Below are 19,610 nucleotides of genomic sequence, written 5' to 3' on the forward strand. Positions count from 1 at the left end.
GCCTGTGGATGGCCATTAAGGTAATTTCTTTTTTCTTTTCTTGTTAGAGACAAGGTCTTACCCTGTCACCCAAGCTGCAGCGCAGTGGCATGATCATAGCTCACTGTAACCTCGAACTCCTGGGCTCAAGCAATCCTCCTGCCTCGGGATCCCAAGTAGTTAGGACTATAGGCACACACAACTACGCCCTGCTAATTTAAAAAACATTTTTTTTTTCTAGAAACAAGGTCTCACTATGTTGCCCAGGCTGGTCTCAAACTCCTGGCTTCAAGAGATCTTCCCACTTTTACCTCCCAAAGTGCTGAGTTTACAGGCATGAGCCACCATACCTGTCCATTAAGGTATGTTTTTAAGGGAGTCTCCCCTTTGTATCTTATATTATAAACACTTATATTTTGTTTTTGTTTTGAACTTTTAAGTTCAGAGGTATGTGTGTCATGGTGGTTTACTGCACAGATCATCCCATCACCCAGGTATTAAGCCCAGTATCCACTAGCTGTTCTTCCTGATCCTCTCCCTCCTCCGGCACCACCCCCCCACCCCGCCACCCTCCGAAAGGCCCCAATGGGTGTTGTTGCCCGTGTCCATGTGTTCTCATCATAAATACTTACATTTTGTACCTTATCTTTTGACCTATCATTCCTATTACACAATAAACTCCCTAAGAGCTAAGACCAAGTCATAAATATCCTTGTAACTCTTCACCAATTCTGTTATACTCCCTTGCACGGAGAATAGATTTGATTCATGTCTGCTGAATAAATAAATATCTGCCACTTGTTATTTTCCAACATTAACTTCTTACTTAAAGAAACTTTAAGTTGGGATATGGTGGCTCACACCTGTCAACCAGCACTTTGGGAGGCTGAGGCAGGAGGATAGCTTGAGCCCAAGAGTTTGAAGTTGCAATGAGCCATGATTATGCCATACTGTACCCCAGGCTGAGTGACAGAGTGAGACCTTGTCCCTAAAAAATAAATGAAACTCTAAATTACCTAAATATATACATAATCAGGTGTTGCTTAATGATTTGGATATGTTCTGAGAAATGCGTCATTAGGTAATTCTGTCATGTGAACGTCACAGAATGTACTTACACAAACCTAGATGGTAGAGTCCACTACACACCTAGGCTATGGTATAGCCAGTATAGCATATGACTGTCCTGAATGCTGTAAGCAATTGTAACACAATGCTAAGTATTTTTGTATCTAAACATATCTAAGCATAGAAAAGATACAGTATACTTCAGCTCTTTTCTGATTAAAAGAAAAACAAAAAAAAATTAATAAGAAAATAAAGACACAGTAATATCACAGTATTACAATGTTATGGGACCACTGTTGTACATGTGGTCCATCACTGACTGAAAGTCGTTATGTGGTACATAATTGTAATTCTTACATGTATTCCTGGTAAAACATAAAGTATTATTCAATTCACTTCATCAAGGCCTCAGTATTAATATACAATAGGACTTTGATTCACTAGGGTCAAATAGAAGGTTTTCTCTTTGTTCCCCCAAAGTTGTCTTAAATACATACAATTTTCTGCTGCTATTTTCTTATAGAAAGTTACTTCCATAAAAATTCAGATCCATAAAAATAATCTCAAAACTGACTTTAAATTTATTTAAAGAGGCACTAATTATAGAAGTTTTTTTTAAGCCATACATTCAAACCATGTAACTAAGTTCTAGGGATTTCTACACTGCTCAGCTCAGAAACTGCTGAAATTAACAAAAATAAATAGTACAGAAAATATAGTGTAGATTTAAATTGTATGTAATATTTAAGAGGTCAGCTGACTTGAAGCCATCACCCATCAGTAAGCATTTCTATATAACTCCAGTTTTCAAAGAATACTAACATTTTAAAATATTTTAAGTGATATTTTTGAAGCCAAATAACCACAAGCTATTCATCATTTGTGGCAATTAAAAGGCAATTTATTATTTGTAAGCCATATGGGAAATGCTTCCCTCTATGGTGTATTTTAAGAGAACCAAGAATGTTTTATACAAATGTAACCCAGAAATTACCATGAGAGCAATCTAAACATTTTCGGTGATTAACAATATTTAGAAGTATTAGGGGGAAAGAGATTCTATGGAGATGACTAGAACTTGATATTCTTTCCTTTAATGTTTACGTTTATATATAATATCCTTCTATACAGAGTTATAAGTATAAACCCGCAAATGCTCTGAGGTTAAATAATACATATGAATGGGAAGAATGTACTAATTTAGGAGACTGGGAACATAGACTTGTACTCCAAGGAAGAGACAAGAGTAAAAAGAATTCACTTTGCCTCATGGAAGGAGAATCCGGAGTTCTCCCTTTCAAACATTCAGCAGCAGTTCATGATTTCCAGGAGTTAACTCCTGCTGTACTCTGAAGTTCTCTCCTTTCTTCGATAAGTTGGTATGTAAAATGGTCAGCAAAAACAGGTACAAATGCTACTTCAGTATCTGACTTTAATTCCATGCTAGTTTCTGAGAGCACTATGATTGTTCTATTCTTAGAAACATTAACTGGTATGGGGAATTAAGCCAGAAAAAAAAAGTTCAAGAACAATTTAGAATAGGAGGAAGAAAACACAAGGAATTACAATCTCCCGGGTGAGGAGCAGGGAATTAAGCAATAATATTTAAAAAGTAGAGACATAAATTCCAGTGACCAGTTAACTCAGATAGGAAAGAAACTATCAACTAGTTTTAGAGGCTGTAGAGCAAATCTCAGCATCAGATAGCATATCGATTTTCCATCATCTAATTCCAACAAACACATTTTCATAGCAGAAACTACACTATCCCATGAACCTCCTCACATGGTTTACTCACAATGTTTACAACATTCCCTCCATCCTTCAAGTCCCAATTCAAATCTCACAGCCTCTATGAAAATTTCCCTGACCCCTAGTGAAATGTGTCGTCTCTCTCTTTTTTGAACTACTTAATCCACATTTCTTGTAAGGCACTTACCACGGCTGACTATATATTTTATGTTACTGATGGACATCTTAGCTCCCTAGGTAGTGAACACGCTCCCCGGCTAGTGAACACGTCCCCAAATACAGCCCACACATCTAAATTATTTTTCTAGTGCTCTTTATATTTACAGGGTGCTTTGTATGGACTGGCTCCTGAGTAGGCATACATTCAAAATATGTGTTGAACAAATCAATGAATAAATGAACTCATCAAGCAATTAACAAGTACTTGAGGGTGTTAGGAAACTAGTAGGAGCTGAGAATTAGAGGTCAAATAAGGCAGAGGCTCCCACAGTAGGAAGTTACATGTCTTCAGTGACTTAAATGTAGGTCAGTTTCCCTGGCTTATATTTTCACTCTCCATATTTCTCTTTTGAGCTACTTATTACAAATGCAATTTTTCAAAAACCCTGGTAGTTGTGTAATTCTGTGCCCTGTGCCCCCATTAGAACTATTATATCTTCAGGATCCAGCTCAGCAGCCTCACATGGCAGGTTCTCAACAAATACTTGTTGAATAAATCTCAAAATAGTTTCATACAATGTATTTAAAGAGTAAAAATTAAAAGGCCTAACAATTCTTTAAAATGTCCAGAACTGGGAACTTACAGAAGTTAAATATAGATAAATGTCAACACTGGAAAATGGCAGTGATTTCATCTTTTAGTTTTCGAGTTTGCAATATCTCCTCTACAATTCAATTTTTTTAAAAGTCATTTGCTAAACTGACTCTGGAATAAATAAAATGTAAATATTAAAAAGAAATTCACCTTTAAAGTCTCCTCCAAACTTGGAGCTCATACAATACACTTGCCAAACCTCAATGTTTTAAACATCCATTATTCTTTTAAAAAATTGATCAGTCACAAGCCCTGTGCTTGGTACCATAGCTCTTCTTTCCTTTCTCATTGATTGTGTTATTTTATCTATGGAAGAGGTTAGTAAAGCAGTAATTTCTGAAAATTTGTTTATTGAGCCCAATTAATAATTGATAAGTAAGGGCTATTAATTACCTGAAGTAATACCTGGTTTTAATTGGGGACAACAACTAAACTCCTGAAGGCTGTTTCTTGGGTTACTACCTGCTAGGTAGCTACTATTCATCAGACTTCACATGTTATTAGAAAGTAGGTTTCTATTAACCTTAAAAACAAAACAGCAAATAGAAAGAACAATTGTATACGTTTTTCTTAGCCAAAAAAATTTAGAAAACTGTCCAAATATTAATAGAAATCATGTTTTCCACAAAATGGTGGATAAATTCAAATTTGAAACTTGGTAGTATGGTGGTTAAGAGTCCAGACTTAAGGAAAAAAAAAGACTTTGTCTAAAGGAAAATCACAACATGTACAAAAATAGGGAAGACAGTATCATGAATCCCACATACTCATCACCCAGGCAGCAATCAACTTGTAGCCAACCTTGTTTCAGCTACACCCCACCCACTTTCCCACAACCCACTCTGGACTATTTTGAAGCAAATTCCAGGCTTCATATAATTTCATTTATAACTATTTCAATATATGTAAGTGCACAGACTCTAAGTTACACAGATCTGGAGTCAAATCTAGGCTCTCCCACCTACTAGCTGTAAGACCCTGGGCCACTGACTTCACTTCTTTGAGCCTGTCTTCTATTTGCAAAATGGGGATAGTAATGCCTGCTTCACAGGACTGCAATATGAGCAAAATGAGATATGGTATCTAAAGAACTGAACCTAGCGCTGGCACACAGAAGGTAGCTAACACACGCAGCTGTGGTTATTATTAACAAACTAGCCAAACCAGAGCTACCTCTATTTAAATTATGGGGTGTCCGAACAAACGAGCCTCTTCAGTGGCAATAATGGCATCCCTGTGCCATCCACCTGTATGTATTATTAACACATCAGGACAGAACTCTGACTCTTTTCTAATGAGGCTCACAAAGAAAATAACTGGTATCAAGTATCCCTTTATTTTAAAGAGATGCTAACCTCTCTATGCTGAACTTGTAGAGAGAGAAACTAAAAATGATTTGTAATTCATTCACTGAATATTCACCTTCAGGAGCTTAAGAGTAAAGAGGTCCAGAAAAAATGTCCATGGATAAAGGTGGTGTGGGTGCAGGAAGGAGGTGCTTTTCTGTTACCTTAAACCAAGAGAAAGGGGGTTTTAAGAGGCCCTAAGAGAGTACAACCTGCTTACCCTGGAAATTTTAACCGTAGATACCAACTGGAGAGTACAAAGATTGGTGTCTGGCTTCCATTAAGAAGCAGGACAGAGCAACATGGGGTGGCCAAGTGGAGGTAAGTGGTATGTCCTGCCAAAGTGAAAGGGGTCCTCCTCCCTGCCGCTGGTCACCCACCCTCAGGCAGGTCCCAGCTGGGGAAGGGAAGAATTTCTTTTGTAATGAAGTTCAAAGTGGACATTTTAAGCACTGAAATTAGACTCCTCTTGTGACTAGAAGTGGTAAAAGAACTTTTTTAAAATCTAAAGTGATAGAAAAAGTTATAGGATATATATTATAGGAGACAAATATATGATATGATATATATAGGATATATATTCCATCCAAGAAGAAGGAAAAAAAAAGAACCCACAGAATGAGCTCAAAGGCGGAAGTGAAAGCAAAAATTAAGTTGATGTTTCTCTTCCATCCCATCCCATCCTACCCTTCTAATGGAAGTAAAGTAAGGAATACCTTCTATACATTAATAAGATGTAGACAATACACTCACTAAATTACATAAATAACGTATGATCAAGTATTAAACTATGACTTGTCACTTCTAAAATGAATAACTCTTCTGAGTGGGCCAGGTGCGGTGGCTCACACCTGTAATCCCAGCACTTTGGGAAGCCAAGGCAGGCAGATCACTTGAGGCCAGGAGTTCCAGACCAGCCTGGTCAACACGGCAAAACCCCGCCTCTCCTAAACATACAAATATTAGCCAGGCGTGGTGGTGCATGTCTGTAATCCCAGCTACTTGGGAGGCTGGGGCATGAGAATTTCTTGAACCCAGGAAGCGGAGGTTGCAGTGAGTCAAGATCGCGCCACTGTACTCCAGCCTTGGGCAACAGAGCAAAATTCTGTCCAAAGGAAAAAAAAAAAAAAAGAATAACTCTTCTGAAGATACATTAGAAAATCTGCTTTTTCTCTTTTACTTTTATTTTTAATTGACTAACAGCAACTAAGTGATGCTCCCATGAAAAACTTTACCCATTCTTCCAAAAAGAATGGAACAGAGGCAATAAAAGTTGAAGAGACAGAGACAGGGGAAAAAAAAGGAGTCATGTGCCCCAAGATGACTGATCCAAGGAGAGCAAGGTCCTTTGTTAAGCACTAAAACAGTACTTAAGGGGCAAAGCAGGATTTCCTGCCCTTAAAGAGTTTGGATTAAACAGAACAGCAACCTCCAGAGATAAACATACAGTCTTCTGGAGGAGGGGAGGGAATGAGAAGAAATGCAAACCTGAAAAGAGCCAAAGGCCTAGTAAAGAATCCTTGTAAAGGCTACTGTGAAGTCACATGAGGCAAATTCCTGGCTCTTTGAAAACTCAGATCTTAGTCAATCAGTTATAATGAAATATTCTGTAGTTTCTGAAGCATTCCTACATTGGTTTTGAAAGCTCATTCCATTTAAGATCAATCCTTCTTTGGAGCCAGGGTTATTCATTACTTTCAACTATGGAACACTATACTGACCTTTATAATAAAAAGTGTGAACACTGACTGCATTTTGAATTATAAGTAGGCATGAATTCATTCTTGGAAAACACTAAATGCCAAACCAGAGCTACCTTTATTTAAATTATGGGGTGTTCAAACAAATGAGCCTCTTCAGCGGCAATAATGGCATCCCCGTGCCATCCACCTGTACAAAGACAGGTGACGATTCTCATCCAGAACATGTCATCTCTACAGCTTCTGGCACAAATTCTAGACAACCCAGCCCTCAGTTTTAGCACTAACTAGCCACAACCCAAATTAGTCACAGAACACACTGTACATGGTACATAGAGGGTTCAGGTTCATTTTTAGCAGAGGCCTCCAGTGTGTTACTTCAAGTTTTATGTTACTATCATAACACAGCTGATAAAACTATTTCTTGTCAGAGTGATAATGAATAAAAATTAAGTCTCAATTTCAATTCTGACCTACTAAAACTGGGTAATTGATTCCTGTGTAAGTCAAGGCAATCGAATTTATTTTTGGTTATGCAATCATAGTACTGATTACTTTTCCAATGAAAGTCAAAAGAACTAGATTACTTCCCAGAATAAAAAGTAACAAGCAATAGTCTGTATATGTGAGTGAGAGTGAGAGTGTGTGAGTGTGTGTGCAAACAGGCATGTGGAGGTTTTGCCAATTCTCCATCTGGAAGCCATGATATAACAGGATAATCGCAAACTGCATTCTCACTGGTTTAAGTCCATGAATAATGCCCAGATAATCTAGCATGACTTAAAAAAGAAATGAATTGTGACGTGTAACTGAGGCTCACACAGTCATTTATAGTAGATTGATTTTCCAAGGTACTTTTAGCAATTCAAAAAATATCTTAGATGGAAGGCAAGAAGAAATAACACATGAAAAAACAAAGCAGTTTGTTTCCCACTGTTAAGTTAAAGAAGATAGATTTCTCAATGATAGCTCTTTCATCCTATAATCAACAATCCTTCAAAATAAAATACAGCTAGTCTAAACCAACTGGATGAATAAAAAGGCATCTTTCATCTAACCATGATTCATTTTTACAATTACTGTCTACTTTAAAATAATCTATTTCAAACATGATTTTCTTCCCCCATCCCCACCACCAGGGCAAGAAGACTACAGGTTACACAGAAAGCGAAGTACACTTCCAGGTGAGACAAAACATTTGAGATGTGATTCTCTTCTTTAGGCCAGTGAAGTCACCTGGAGGTAGAAGGAAGAACTTCCTTTCTTTCCCCTTCTTATTCTGAAGTCTGAAAACCAAGCTCCCAGAAACACTTTTATCTAAGGGCAAAGGAATGATGAGTCTCCCCAGGGGGAGAATATAAGAAATGACCATAAAGTACTAAAAGTGACTTTTAAATAAATGTGCCAGAACTAATACATACAAATGGATGTTGCCCCCTTCAAAGTCATTATCTTGGAAATTATATACTTATTCTAATGATGATACTATGGGCACTTTGGAATTTGTTTCAGAGCCCAGAATTTTCCACATCCTTAAAGCTAACGAGTGTTTGTCTTTTCAGGTTGAATTTAGCAAGTCAAAAGTGCTCAGAGTAGCTGAGCTTTTTGTTGGAAAATCTTTCTTGACATGCCGAATCTAGGTTACATGTCCCCTCCTAAACGATCCCTGGACTTCTCCCAGCAGAGTACTTTTCACTCTCTTTGGAATTGCTAACTTACCCATCATCTGTCTGACAAAACTGTAAACTTCAACAGAGCAGGGAACTTTTCTGCCTTCTTTATTATTAGACCCACAGTCCCACCATAGAGCCTAGAAGATTATAGGCAGCCAAGAAATACTGAATGATGCAGCTATTATAATGTAAAACGGTTTGCAATACTATGTGTGCCTTCTCTGTTTACCTTCCTTACTCCTCTCGGAAAAGAGTCTTTATTATGCCTCTATGCAATTACTTATCTACATATGTCTTATACACAGGAATTCTATACTTTAAAAGTGGTTGGATTCATTTTTCATTACTTATTTATATACAGTAAAAAAGCAAAAATCATTATTATATCTTCACAGACTAAAAACTTACAACTTTTTCCCTCCCAAATTTGCAAGTACAGTAATATCTTACCCAGTTGCAATATCTTTATAGTGTCCCTGTAGGCCTTCATCACCAGCTTGAAATGGCGATAGAGTGGGTAACACAACACCCTTCTTCCAAAAGACACCATGATATCATGAACGTTAGTCCAAGTCTGTGAAGTGTCATTTTAATAAGCAGTCATTTCCACAAAATGTTACACAAACAAAAGTACACAATGAAATAGGAAGCTTTTCTCATTTAAAAGCTGCAAGTTCGGATCATTGTGAAGCCAAGTAGAAGAGAAACATAAAACCATGAAATAAGATTCTTTTTGTATACTTTACAATAAAACAGAATCTTAGTTTTTGTAATTTCTCACACTATCAATACATCACAAATGTCACAAGAAAGCTTTTAAATAAAGTCCTAAAGATTACAAATAAGAATCTAAAACACATGGCATTAACAAAATACAGATGCACATAAAGGACATTTTAATATAATTTACATTTCATGTTTTTGTCAGCTAAGGCTATTCAAGATGGCACAGATCAAAAATGTAGAACTCACCGGGAGTGGTGGCTCATGCCTGTAAAGCACTTTGGGACTCCAGGCGGGTGGATCACCTGAGGTCAGGAGTTCGAGACCTCCCTGGCCAACATGGCAAAACCCCGTCTCTACTAAAAATACAAAAATTAGCCAGGTGTGGTGACAGGCACCTGTAATCCCAGCTACTCAAGAGGGTGAAGCAGAGAATAGCTCGATCCTGGGAGGCAGAGGCTGCAGTGAGTCAAGATGGCGCTACTGCACTCCAGCCTGGACAATAGAGTGAGACTCCATCTCAAAAAAAAAAAAAAAAAAGGCCGGGTGCGGTGGCTCATGCCTGTGATCTCAGCACTTTGGGAGGCCGACGGGCGGACCACAAGGCCAGGAGATCGAGACCACCCTGGCTAACACGATGAAACCCCGTCTCTACTAAAACTACAAAATTAGCCGGGCGTGGTGGCAGGTGCCTGTAGTCCCAGCTACTCGGGAAGCTGAGGCAGGAGAATGGCGTGAACCCAGGAGGCGGAGCTTGCAGTGAGCCAAGATCGCGCCACTGCACTCCAGCCTAGGTGACAGAGCGAGACACCATCTCAAAAAAAAAAAAAAAAAAAAATACATAGAACTCTTTAGTAAAGTATGTTCAGTTTCCTCTCCTCTTTTTCTTTTTTTTTTTTTTTTTGCACTGGACATGGGTAATACAAGACATTTACTTGAGTAATTTGCTTTTGCTTATCAAACTGATTTCTAGGAAAAAAGGTGTTGTATCTTGAACGGTATCAAACTGATAACATTAGCAATTCAAAACTTACTAAAAACACTAAACAAAAGAAAATTTCCACAAAATTGTTTTTTGATAAACAAAGTATAAAAAATGTAAACCATATGTAAAATTTAAAATTAAAACCAAGGGAGAAAGATAATTTACATGTACATTAATCCTTAAAACTATGAGGAATCTGATTAAGAACACTTAGTATTTGACATAATTTAAAGAGAATTAGGAACTTAAAAATCATAAATAGGTGAATTTTCATGTAGATTTTTAATAACTATACTACAAAATTATCCAGTCACCAACTACTTTCAACATATTAATAAATGCTAACACAGAAACCGATTCCTCTATTATATGCTGATCATGGCAACATGAGGAACTCCAATGAAGCCTAGAGAGCAGCACTTTTTGTCTTCAATATGCATACAAACTCCGTAGAGATCTTGCTACAAATCCTGGTTCTGATTCAGTGAGTGTGAGGTGGGACTGAAATTCTGTCTTTCTAATGAGCTCCCAGCTGAAGCTGCTGGTCAGGTTGTTGGTCCTTGAATCATTTTTGGAGTAGTAAGATTCTATATGAAGTAAGTGTTTCAGTTCCTGTTTACATCTTACCTATTATTTCAACAAAGTGACGTCAATGAAATAACCTTGATTTTACAGCTTAAAAAATACTGGTTGTTTTAACTGATGATATAATCTCGATACTTTTTTAAAGTTTCTGCTTTTAATTACTGTTTTGATGCACAAGTTTGTTAAAAACTCACAAATTTAAAGATATTATCTTTGGTATTTTTGGTGAGACCTGCACAACTATTTTTCAGAAACCAGAAACATTATTACTATACTAAAAGAGTTATCAAATGTAACCAGACTACATTTGAATTGTAGGACCTAAGATAAGAGATTTAAGCTATATGATCTAAGGATCCTCACCTGTAAAACCTGCAATACTTACCTCACAGACATACTGAGAATAGGTGAAGTTTTTTTACATATACACATATATATAAAAAATCATATAAAAAACATTATTTTTCGTGTGTGTGTGTGTGTTCTTAGCATAGACCCTGACAGTCACTTATCACCTAGGTTTGCTTCCATCTCTGAGTTTCAAGCTCCAATACATGCCAACTTACAAACACACCTCTCACTCTGCCCCCACATTCTTTCCCAACAAACCATGTCTCCATCCTCTCTCCAAAGTGTGTTTCCCTCCCCCAGCTTCCAAAGTACTCTACCTGGTTCATTATCAGAATTTTATTAAAAAGATGGAAAACATACTTGTACAATAGAGCTTCTACTTTTAAAAATTCAAGGAATTGCTTGAATTACCCCAAATGATGTAAAAACAACAAAAATAACTTCCTGAACAACAAATTCTAAACAATTGCAACTGGAAATCATACCTCAAACCAGCATAGTGTTGGACTCAGTTTCCTGATATTCCATGCAGATTCAACCTTTATTTGTTTTGGAGAAAAGAATACCATCACATTAGAGGTGAAGTCATTTAAATAGACCAAACAAATCCATTTATTCAACCAGTGTCTGAGGATCACTGACATATGAGAACTAAGAAGTGTTCACGACTATAGAAAAATAATTATTTTGCTGATACAGAGACTACCAGTGGGAAGTTTCTGTTTACTCTCCTTGGGATTTTCGAAAATAAAACTTTTCTACTGATAAGAGTACCAGAACACAAGAGCAAACAACCAGGGGTTTTGAAACTAAAAGTTAAAGCAAAGTAATCCCTGCTCAATTTCTGTCCTTTTTCCACTAAGTTACATGCCTCCCAAACAATCCATAAATAATCTATCAAAGGAATCAAAGATAATGTTGAAGTATTACCTGTGGCACTTAAGAAGCTGCTAGAAAATTTGATCTTTCAGAGAATGCTGGTGAGAATAAGTAAATGCTAGAGAAGGTCTCAAGTTGTAAGACTTCATGATTTCAAATACACAAATACAAGAATAAAAAATGGTAAATTTTTTCAAATATACCTAAACACTCATCTTTTCAAGATTTAATATGAAGCATTTTTTGGTCAAAGAAAACATTTTCTCCAATTACAGTATCTTTAAAAGACGAGTGAAAACAAAAAGTATTTTCAGATATATTATGCCCTTAACACACTAAATTAATAGTCATCTTGGAGTCAGACACAAATGTCAAGAGGCACCCTAGAAATTTTCAGAATCATGACAACAAAAAAAATTGGTACATAGAAAATTCTAACTCTAATACCATCCTAGTGCTATAATGTCAAGTGAAAAAAGCAGGTTAAATAGTATACACGTTAGGACCTAAGGTAAATACACACAATATAGACACACGCGCACACTGAAAGAAGATTGGAAATAGATACATCACCATGTAACAGCGGTTATATTTCTGATGACTGAAATTACAGGAAATCTTAATTATTTTCTTCATGTGTATATTTTCCTTCATATGTGAATTATTTGTGTAATTCAAAAAAGGAAAGCTATGCTCAGATCAAAAATAACCTTTTGAGCAAGGACAATTATAAACAGCTGCAGGGCCACACTAACTAGAAAGGCTGTTTTTTTTGGTTTCCAGCCTTTTTAAATATACAATCAATGGTACAGGTGAAAAGGAAGTTTAGCTCTTCATTTACAAAATCAAATATGGTTTAAGAAGAGATACAACAAAGTCTATATTATTTTTTAAAAGATGAAGAAATAATTTACAAAAGGATTTACTTTTATAATATGATCCCTTTAAATAGCAAAAAAAGATATAATTCAGGTTTTAAAAAATCTGATTTACATATAATTTTTCAGAGTACACATACTCTATGAATTGAGGGACACTTGCAGGTAAATACTAAGATTTCTCTATTTTGTAAAATGCCATATTTTGCATCTGCTGACTTCTGGCTGAGAGAAAGAATATAAATGGGTATGGCAGTTTACCCCCTTGCCAATGTGAAGTGTCATGTGACAGAGCACTTCTCTGGCCTAAAAGAGATGAGAGCTCAGAGTAGCCTTCCTCTCTACTCTCAGTTTCACTCCCTTAAACTTCCCTACTCTGCTATTTTTGCAGAGACTAATGCCAAGAGAAAAGTGAAAAAGACCAACTAAGTAATGTATGATTGCATGTGGGTACCCACCACCACCACCACACACATGCAACTCTGCTGGGGGCATCCCCTGAATAACTGATCACCACCAGTTCTACTCTAGACAAGAAAGACTGATGCTTTAATGCAGTTTACTCAGCACAGTCATCTATGGCAACATGCACACATACATGCACTTACATTCTTCTCTCCTTCAGTGACACGGGTTTCATAGCAATATGCCAGAAGGATATCAATCAAACTGTAGCACACTTGACGACAGGCTCTCTTGTCCAGCAGATAAGATTTATTGACAAATTTTCGTAGCTGATACTTCTCTTCTTCAGAAAAAGACACTAGAAGAAAACGCATTTAAAAACTAGATGTTTCATTCAGTTTTGTAAAACTCCCAATGGAAGATTTGTCAAAATTAGAACTTTGATTATAGAAACTGAAATAAAAGTTCTTTCTACTTAACTATGGATATATAAATAACTTAAGTAGACTTCACAGTTTTAGTAAGAGCTATGAGTCTGCTCAAATTCTAATAGGGCTGAATAAAGAAGATTTTTCTAAATAATACCTATTCCTTAATTCCTGACCCTCCCTTTTTTGCTACACTGTTCTGTACTTAAGACGTCTGAATGCCAGTTACTGTCTTTAAAATTAAGATAATACATTTTGACAACAGAAAGTGCTAAATAAAGCACACTGAAAATATTCGTTATCCATTTTGAAAGTTCTATACCAAGAAATAGGAATACTCCCAGATATTAATCAATTAAAATTGTTAAATTTAAATTTAATTTAATTAGATTAAATTTCAATTCAAATTAATCCATTAAAATCTCATATTGTTTACCATATAAATCAAGTTTTACATATGACCACATCACATACGTTAGACTTGTGGGAAAAGATTGTTTCTTTACAACACAGTTCCTTTTTGCTTTTCTTCTTCTGCTTGGCACCTTCTCGCCTCCTGAATATTCGTCAACAGCCTCTCACACACTGAAAATCTAGTATATACCATTCCATAGTTTTCTCTAGACATGTAATCACATACAGACACACAAGCATACCTACTAGGGAGTTTATACTTCCTACACCCTCCCTCAACCCAAATAACTAGGTCATTTTTCTCCATCTAGCCCTTCTCACTCAACAATACCTCTGGCAAATCCCTAAAAGTCAACTGGTGTGTAACTAATTTTTGTAAAGGAGTATAATATTCCAAAATGTACCATGCTCTGTCCAATCACTCCCCCTACTGATGGGCACTCACTTTGCTTCTAGTTTTCTGCCACTGCTAATAATGCTGCAATAAATATCCTTATCCTATGTCCTTGATTATTAGAGGCTTTATTTCCATAAAGTAGACTCTCGAGACTGTATTGACTGGGTTAAAAAAGTATCTGTTTTAGAAAGACACTTTACTTAAAGGCTACAATAACTCTCCTTTCTCACAGTCATGAATAGAAGTTCCTCTTCCTACACATACCTCCCACCTCCCCCTGGCAAGAAATGTAATAGCTTTTTTACAATCATTTCCAGGTTAATAAATTGAGTATAGTAGGCAGAATTCTAAGATGACTTCCAATGAGTCATATCATTATGTGGGGATGGAGCTTGTGACCTGCTTCTGTCCAACAGAATACGACCAAGGCAATGGGACAGTCATTTCCATGATTATATTCCATTATTAGCAGACCAAAGCCAGGGACTCGCCTGCTAGTTTTGAAGAAATAAGATGTCACATGGTGAAGTGAGAGAGCCTGTGAGAAGGCTATGTGGCAGGGACCTGTAGAGGCCTCTAAGATCTAAGAGTGGCCCCCAGCTAACAGCCAGCAACAAAGTAGGGGCCTCAGTTCTATATCTGCAAGGAACTAAATTCTGCCAACAATCATGTGAGATTGGAAGAAGACCTTGAGCTCCAGGAAAGAACACAGCCTCCAACATCTGTTTTTTAAAAAAATAAGATGGATATCTTTGGCTACAGCCTTGCAAGACCTTACACAGTGGACCCAGCTAAGCCTGGCCCAACTTCTGACTCATGGAAACTGAGATCATGAATGTACACTGTGTGAAGCTTGTGATAATTTGTTATGCAGCAAGAGAAAACTAAAACAGTGACTTATCATTGTTATTTCACTTAGTATTTCTCCAATTGCTCAACTTTAAGCACTAGTTCCTTGGTTTGTAGGCAATCTGGATTTGCACTCTTATGAGTGACCCATTCGAATGTGTTTTGTCCAGTTTTTTTCTATTGGATGGCTTGTCTTGTCAAATTAAGAATCCTGTATATTATAGATATAAACCCTAATCATCTTTCCAAAGCTACCATATCTCTACTGACTTTGTTTATGGTACCTTTTGCCATTGAAACACTTATTTTTCATGTAGTCAAATATGTCCATTTTTTTTTTAAGACAAGATTCTGGATTTATAGCTTTAGTTAAGGTTTCCCCAATCCTTGAATTGTACATGAAGTCTCTTTAAGATTAAATTTATTATCCATTAAGTGGAGGTACAGCATCATAAACAAAGGTCCTCATCCTGGTCTTCATATTGAGTAGGCTGAGGAATAAGAGGAAGAGGAAGGGTTGGTTTTGCTATCTCAGGGGTGGCAGAGGCAAAAGAAAATCCCCATATAAGCAGACCTATGCATTTCAAACATGTTTTGTTCAAGGGTCAACTGTATTTAATTTAAAATTTACTGGATTTAATTAATAAGACAGATAAACTGAGTGTTGACTGCCTCATTGGAGGACGCATCTGAAGTTCCTTAATTTAAATAAAAGCTCTCAGTTCATTTTAAGCAATTTGATTTAAGGAAATGGCATGAAGGCATATACTCACTGCAGGAAGAAAGCATACCTGACAAAATATTTTATGACTCCTTGTATTTAGCAAGAAGGTTAGAGACAGTATTCCCTTAGGTATGGTTTTTGAGATGTTCATTAATTTAGCTAATGGGAAAATGCCAGGTGTTCATGATCTCTGACTAGAGAAAAGTCTTTATATCCTAGTTGACTAATAGACCCCTGCTCCCACATAATTCTCAATCACAAAGTAAGCATGCCCAGAAACTATTTAGCAACATGTCAACTCTCTACATATTTATGCCTTCATTTTTAAGTAATCATACCTATCGACGTTTATCCATTTATAAAAGTTGACCTAGGCAATGTAGGTTCTGACGTTACATTATCCACATGTAAGTATTTCTACATTAGTCATTTTCAATAACTGTGCACAGAAGAAAAACCTACTTGAATTATTCTTCTGAATTCTTGGATACTAGGAGCTGCTAGACTTTCCCTAAAACACTTCCACCTTTTACTGAGCATTTATAAGTTCCACTGTGGCCTACTTCATTAATAACACACAAATGCATTTAAATTCTGAAATTCAAGCAAAGAAATCAGAGATGATAAATAACAATAACAACAAACCAGGAAATCACTAGAGAAACCAAAAGTCTGAGCTCCCTAAGGCCTTTTTTATTAGAGCTGTAAATCATATCACCCAAAGGGGAACTTGGGGGAAGTTTGCACACAATCAAGTCTAACCTAGCAGCAGTACTGGAAATAACTACAGATGCAGTGCCAACAATGCTTGGATGATTGCCACCATGAATAACATTTGTCAAGCATTTGTATGACTTAGCTACACTACAAAGCAGCTTTGCTATATAGTTCACAATGTTTTGGCTAATTATACTTTTAAAAATAATCTCCAGTGAAACAAAAGTCAGCTGAACTCTCAATACATTTGAGGAGGAAACTGGTGCCCTAGCATTGAAGCAAATGGCCAAGGACCACCTCCCAACATCAAAAACCCCACCAATATGTCTGAAGGCTGCAAAGGGACTATCAAAATGAAAGATGTCTGCAAGGTAGTCACTTTTCTCTTCCAAATATTTTCTAATTTTGTTACTTTTAAATCCTCCCTTCCTCTCTAAATCCCCCTCCCAAACATCCCTCTTATCTGGGTCAACAATTAAATCACAAAGGATCTCAATGCTCTCAGAGTAACGCACATCTGTCTATTACATTGTACATTCACTGGAACCAGATCAAGGGAACCAGAAAAAATTGTGCTGCATTCAAACCTTCAGCCTAAATGGGTAGCCCTGCAGTGCTACAACTTTCAAAGTTGACACTGACAGTTATCTCTACAAACACTGAAGGGCTCACTGGTGCCAAACAGGATGTCCCTGCTAGGAAGTTCATTGACTATAAATGTTACGTGGTGTCATAACAAGCAATAACGTGCCAAGACTCTGGAGCTTCAGATTAACCACTGAAAGACAACATGGGAAATGCGGTGAGTTCATCCTCATGAAACCAGAGCTCAGGGGAAGCACGGCGTTTAACACTTCCATTTACAAGCCTTTGGGGAGGAAAATCTGGATCACTACAAAGCTGGAGAAAAGTCTCCCTGTTGTAACTCAGGGCTGTGATGAAAACGACAAGAATTACAACCAAGGGAGAAAAAGAGGGAGCAAAGTTCACCACCTAAGGCTTATCTGGAATTCAAAGCAATCTAGGTTAATATTTTATGATACAGAATGAATCAAAGGTACACCCCTCACCTGCACTGTTGTATCTGCCTGGCGACACCTGATGAGGAGGTGTTAAACAGACAACAGCCCACGCTATGACACAAAGAGGAAGAAGGCCAGAGAGGCAAAGAACAAAGAGGAAGAGGAGAAAAGGTACAGCAGCATGCACCATAGTTCAGCAGAAAACTGTGATGTTTATTTCTTGGTTTATTTCTTTTCCCCCATATTTTATCCTGGCTCAACACACTTCAATTTATTCCTCCAATTCTGAGTGCCCCAAATATTTGAACCAGGATTTTTCAAATGAGAGAGAAATCTTGTTAACAAGGAACTTTCCCTTAAAGCTTTCTAAATGTATAAAAATTGTAATTTCACAGAGAAACCATCCAACTCCTGGCTCTCCTGTGACTGATTTTACTCTACAATAATAATTTCTAACATTTACAGGATTTTAAATACATCGTTTCATTCAATCTCAGGACAACTCTGAGGTAGGTACAGCATTCCACAGCAACCCAAAGGTGCAAGATCATATCGCAGGCATGTGGTGGAACAAGAAGTCCAACCCCAAGCCTACATTTAGTTTATATCTTACATTTGGTATTATTAGAAGAGACACGCTGTTCGACACAAAGCTCAAGTTCGTCTACCTTAGATCACATGTCCTTGCTATTTTTAAAGGTGGTTTTTAGAATGAATCACCATAATGGCTTTGCAGACTATGACTGTTCCTGATGCACCAGCCTGGCTATCAGTCATGGGTCAGATGAAGGGTCAGGAGGGCAGGTGGTTAAAAGGACTGAGTGGCTTGATCTCCTGCTAAAATTACACAAAGAAGACTAAGAGCATTGCTGACACAGAAAACTGGACTGAGAACAAGCTACAGTTTATCAAAGTAGAGCAAGTTAGAATTTAAATCAAAGGGAACGCCTTCTCTTGATTTTTAGGGCAACTAGCTCACCCTGGTGGACAGAAAACTCAACTACGCAACCATCAATTTTCTCCCACACCACCTCATTAAAATACCGTGCTAAAATTAGGGAAACTGACTCAAACCAGTTGACACACTTGATGATTTAAGTTTGTTCAAACTTCATGATCAGATCTACCTAGCATGTACAATTAACTATCTATATTCTGTTAGCAATCCTAAACCTGAAAATTTGTCTATATATACATAATGTGAGAAGTCTCTGAAAGCTGCTTAAACTCAAATATAAAAGTCAGGATTTGTTGAAAACGACAATAAATCTATAACAAAGAGTCACTATAGGCCGGGCGCGGGAGCTCACACCTGTAATCCCAGCACTTTGGGAGGCCGAGGCTGGCGGATCACAAGGTCAGGAGATCGAGACCATCCTGGCTAACAGGGTGAAACCCCGTCTCTAGTAAAAACACAAAAAATTAGCCAGGCGCGGTGGCCGGTGCCTGTAGTCCCAGCTACTTGGGAGGCTGAGGTAGGAGAATGGCGTGAAACCGGGAGGCAGAGCTTGCAGTAAGCCGACATTGTGCCACTGCACTCCAGCCTGGGCGACAGAGCAAGACTCCGTCTCAAAAAAAAAAAAAAAAAAAGAGTCACTATAATGAGCTTCTGTTATGCAATAAAGCTAATCCTCTATTTTCTAAAATATTATAGTAGCAATTTTTTGATCTGGTAGAACTCACCTAAACTTTAATAAAACTTAACCATAAAAACATTTATTACAATATTTATAGATATTTACTGAGTACCTTTATATAACAGGCACTATACTAGACACTGAAAAAATAGCAGATAACAGGCTATTGCATTGATATGCAGAAAATAAAAAACTGTGATGCATTAGAGACCCTGTAGCTACTTCAGAATGAGTGGTCAAAGAAGGCCACTATATATACTATTTGCAACTGCAGAAAACAGGAA

General features: G+C 37.2%; 1 protein-coding gene across 7 annotated transcripts in view, besides 4 other annotated features; it reads right to left on the reverse strand.

Annotated features, from left to right (window-relative positions):
* SHQ1 (SHQ1, H/ACA ribonucleoprotein assembly factor) overlaps positions 1-19,610 on the reverse strand; it is a 123,174-nt gene that overhangs the window by 78,617 nt on the left and 24,947 nt on the right. For 6 of the 7 annotated variants that reach the window (XR_001740192.3, NM_018130.3, XM_011533898.3 and 3 more), the window contains exons 7-9: positions 13,342-13,496; positions 11,462-11,515; positions 8,783-8,906 (exon numbers count right to left, since the gene is read on the reverse strand). Coding sequence is in view for 6 of the 7 variants with exons in the window: in NM_018130.3 (NP_060600.2) it covers positions 8,783-8,906; positions 11,462-11,515; positions 13,342-13,496 (333 nt within the window). In the remaining variant the exon portion in view is untranslated. Of the gene's footprint in view, positions 1-8,782; positions 10,668-11,461; positions 11,516-13,341; positions 13,497-19,610 lie in introns of those variants that run through there. The other variant, XM_011533899.2, reaches the window with a different exon arrangement.
* Positions 6,880-7,382: an enhancer, noted in NCBI's record as "H3K4me1 hESC enhancer chr3:72859919-72860421 (GRCh37/hg19 assembly coordinates)". NCBI's record gives its function as "activates a minimal SCP1, AML or CMV promoter by ChIP-STARR-seq in naive H9 embryonic stem cells {active_cell/tissue: H9 hESC(naive)}" and the evidence as "EXISTENCE:reporter gene assay evidence [ECO:0000049][PMID:30033119]".
* Positions 10,499-10,568: an enhancer, noted in NCBI's record as "active region_20090". NCBI's record gives its function as "activates an Ori minimal core promoter by ATAC-STARR-seq in GM12878 lymphoblastoid cells {active_cell/tissue: GM12878}" and the evidence as "EXISTENCE:reporter gene assay evidence [ECO:0000049][PMID:35858748]".
* Positions 18,359-18,408: an enhancer, noted in NCBI's record as "active region_20091". NCBI's record gives its function as "activates an Ori minimal core promoter by ATAC-STARR-seq in GM12878 lymphoblastoid cells {active_cell/tissue: GM12878}" and the evidence as "EXISTENCE:reporter gene assay evidence [ECO:0000049][PMID:35858748]".
* Positions 18,429-18,708: an enhancer, noted in NCBI's record as "active region_20092". NCBI's record gives its function as "activates an Ori minimal core promoter by ATAC-STARR-seq in GM12878 lymphoblastoid cells {active_cell/tissue: GM12878}" and the evidence as "EXISTENCE:reporter gene assay evidence [ECO:0000049][PMID:35858748]".

The sequence above is a fragment of the Homo sapiens genome, chromosome 3 (assembly GCF_000001405.40).
Source record: "Homo sapiens chromosome 3, GRCh38.p14 Primary Assembly".
Lineage (NCBI taxonomy): Eukaryota > Metazoa > Chordata > Mammalia > Primates > Hominidae > Homo > Homo sapiens.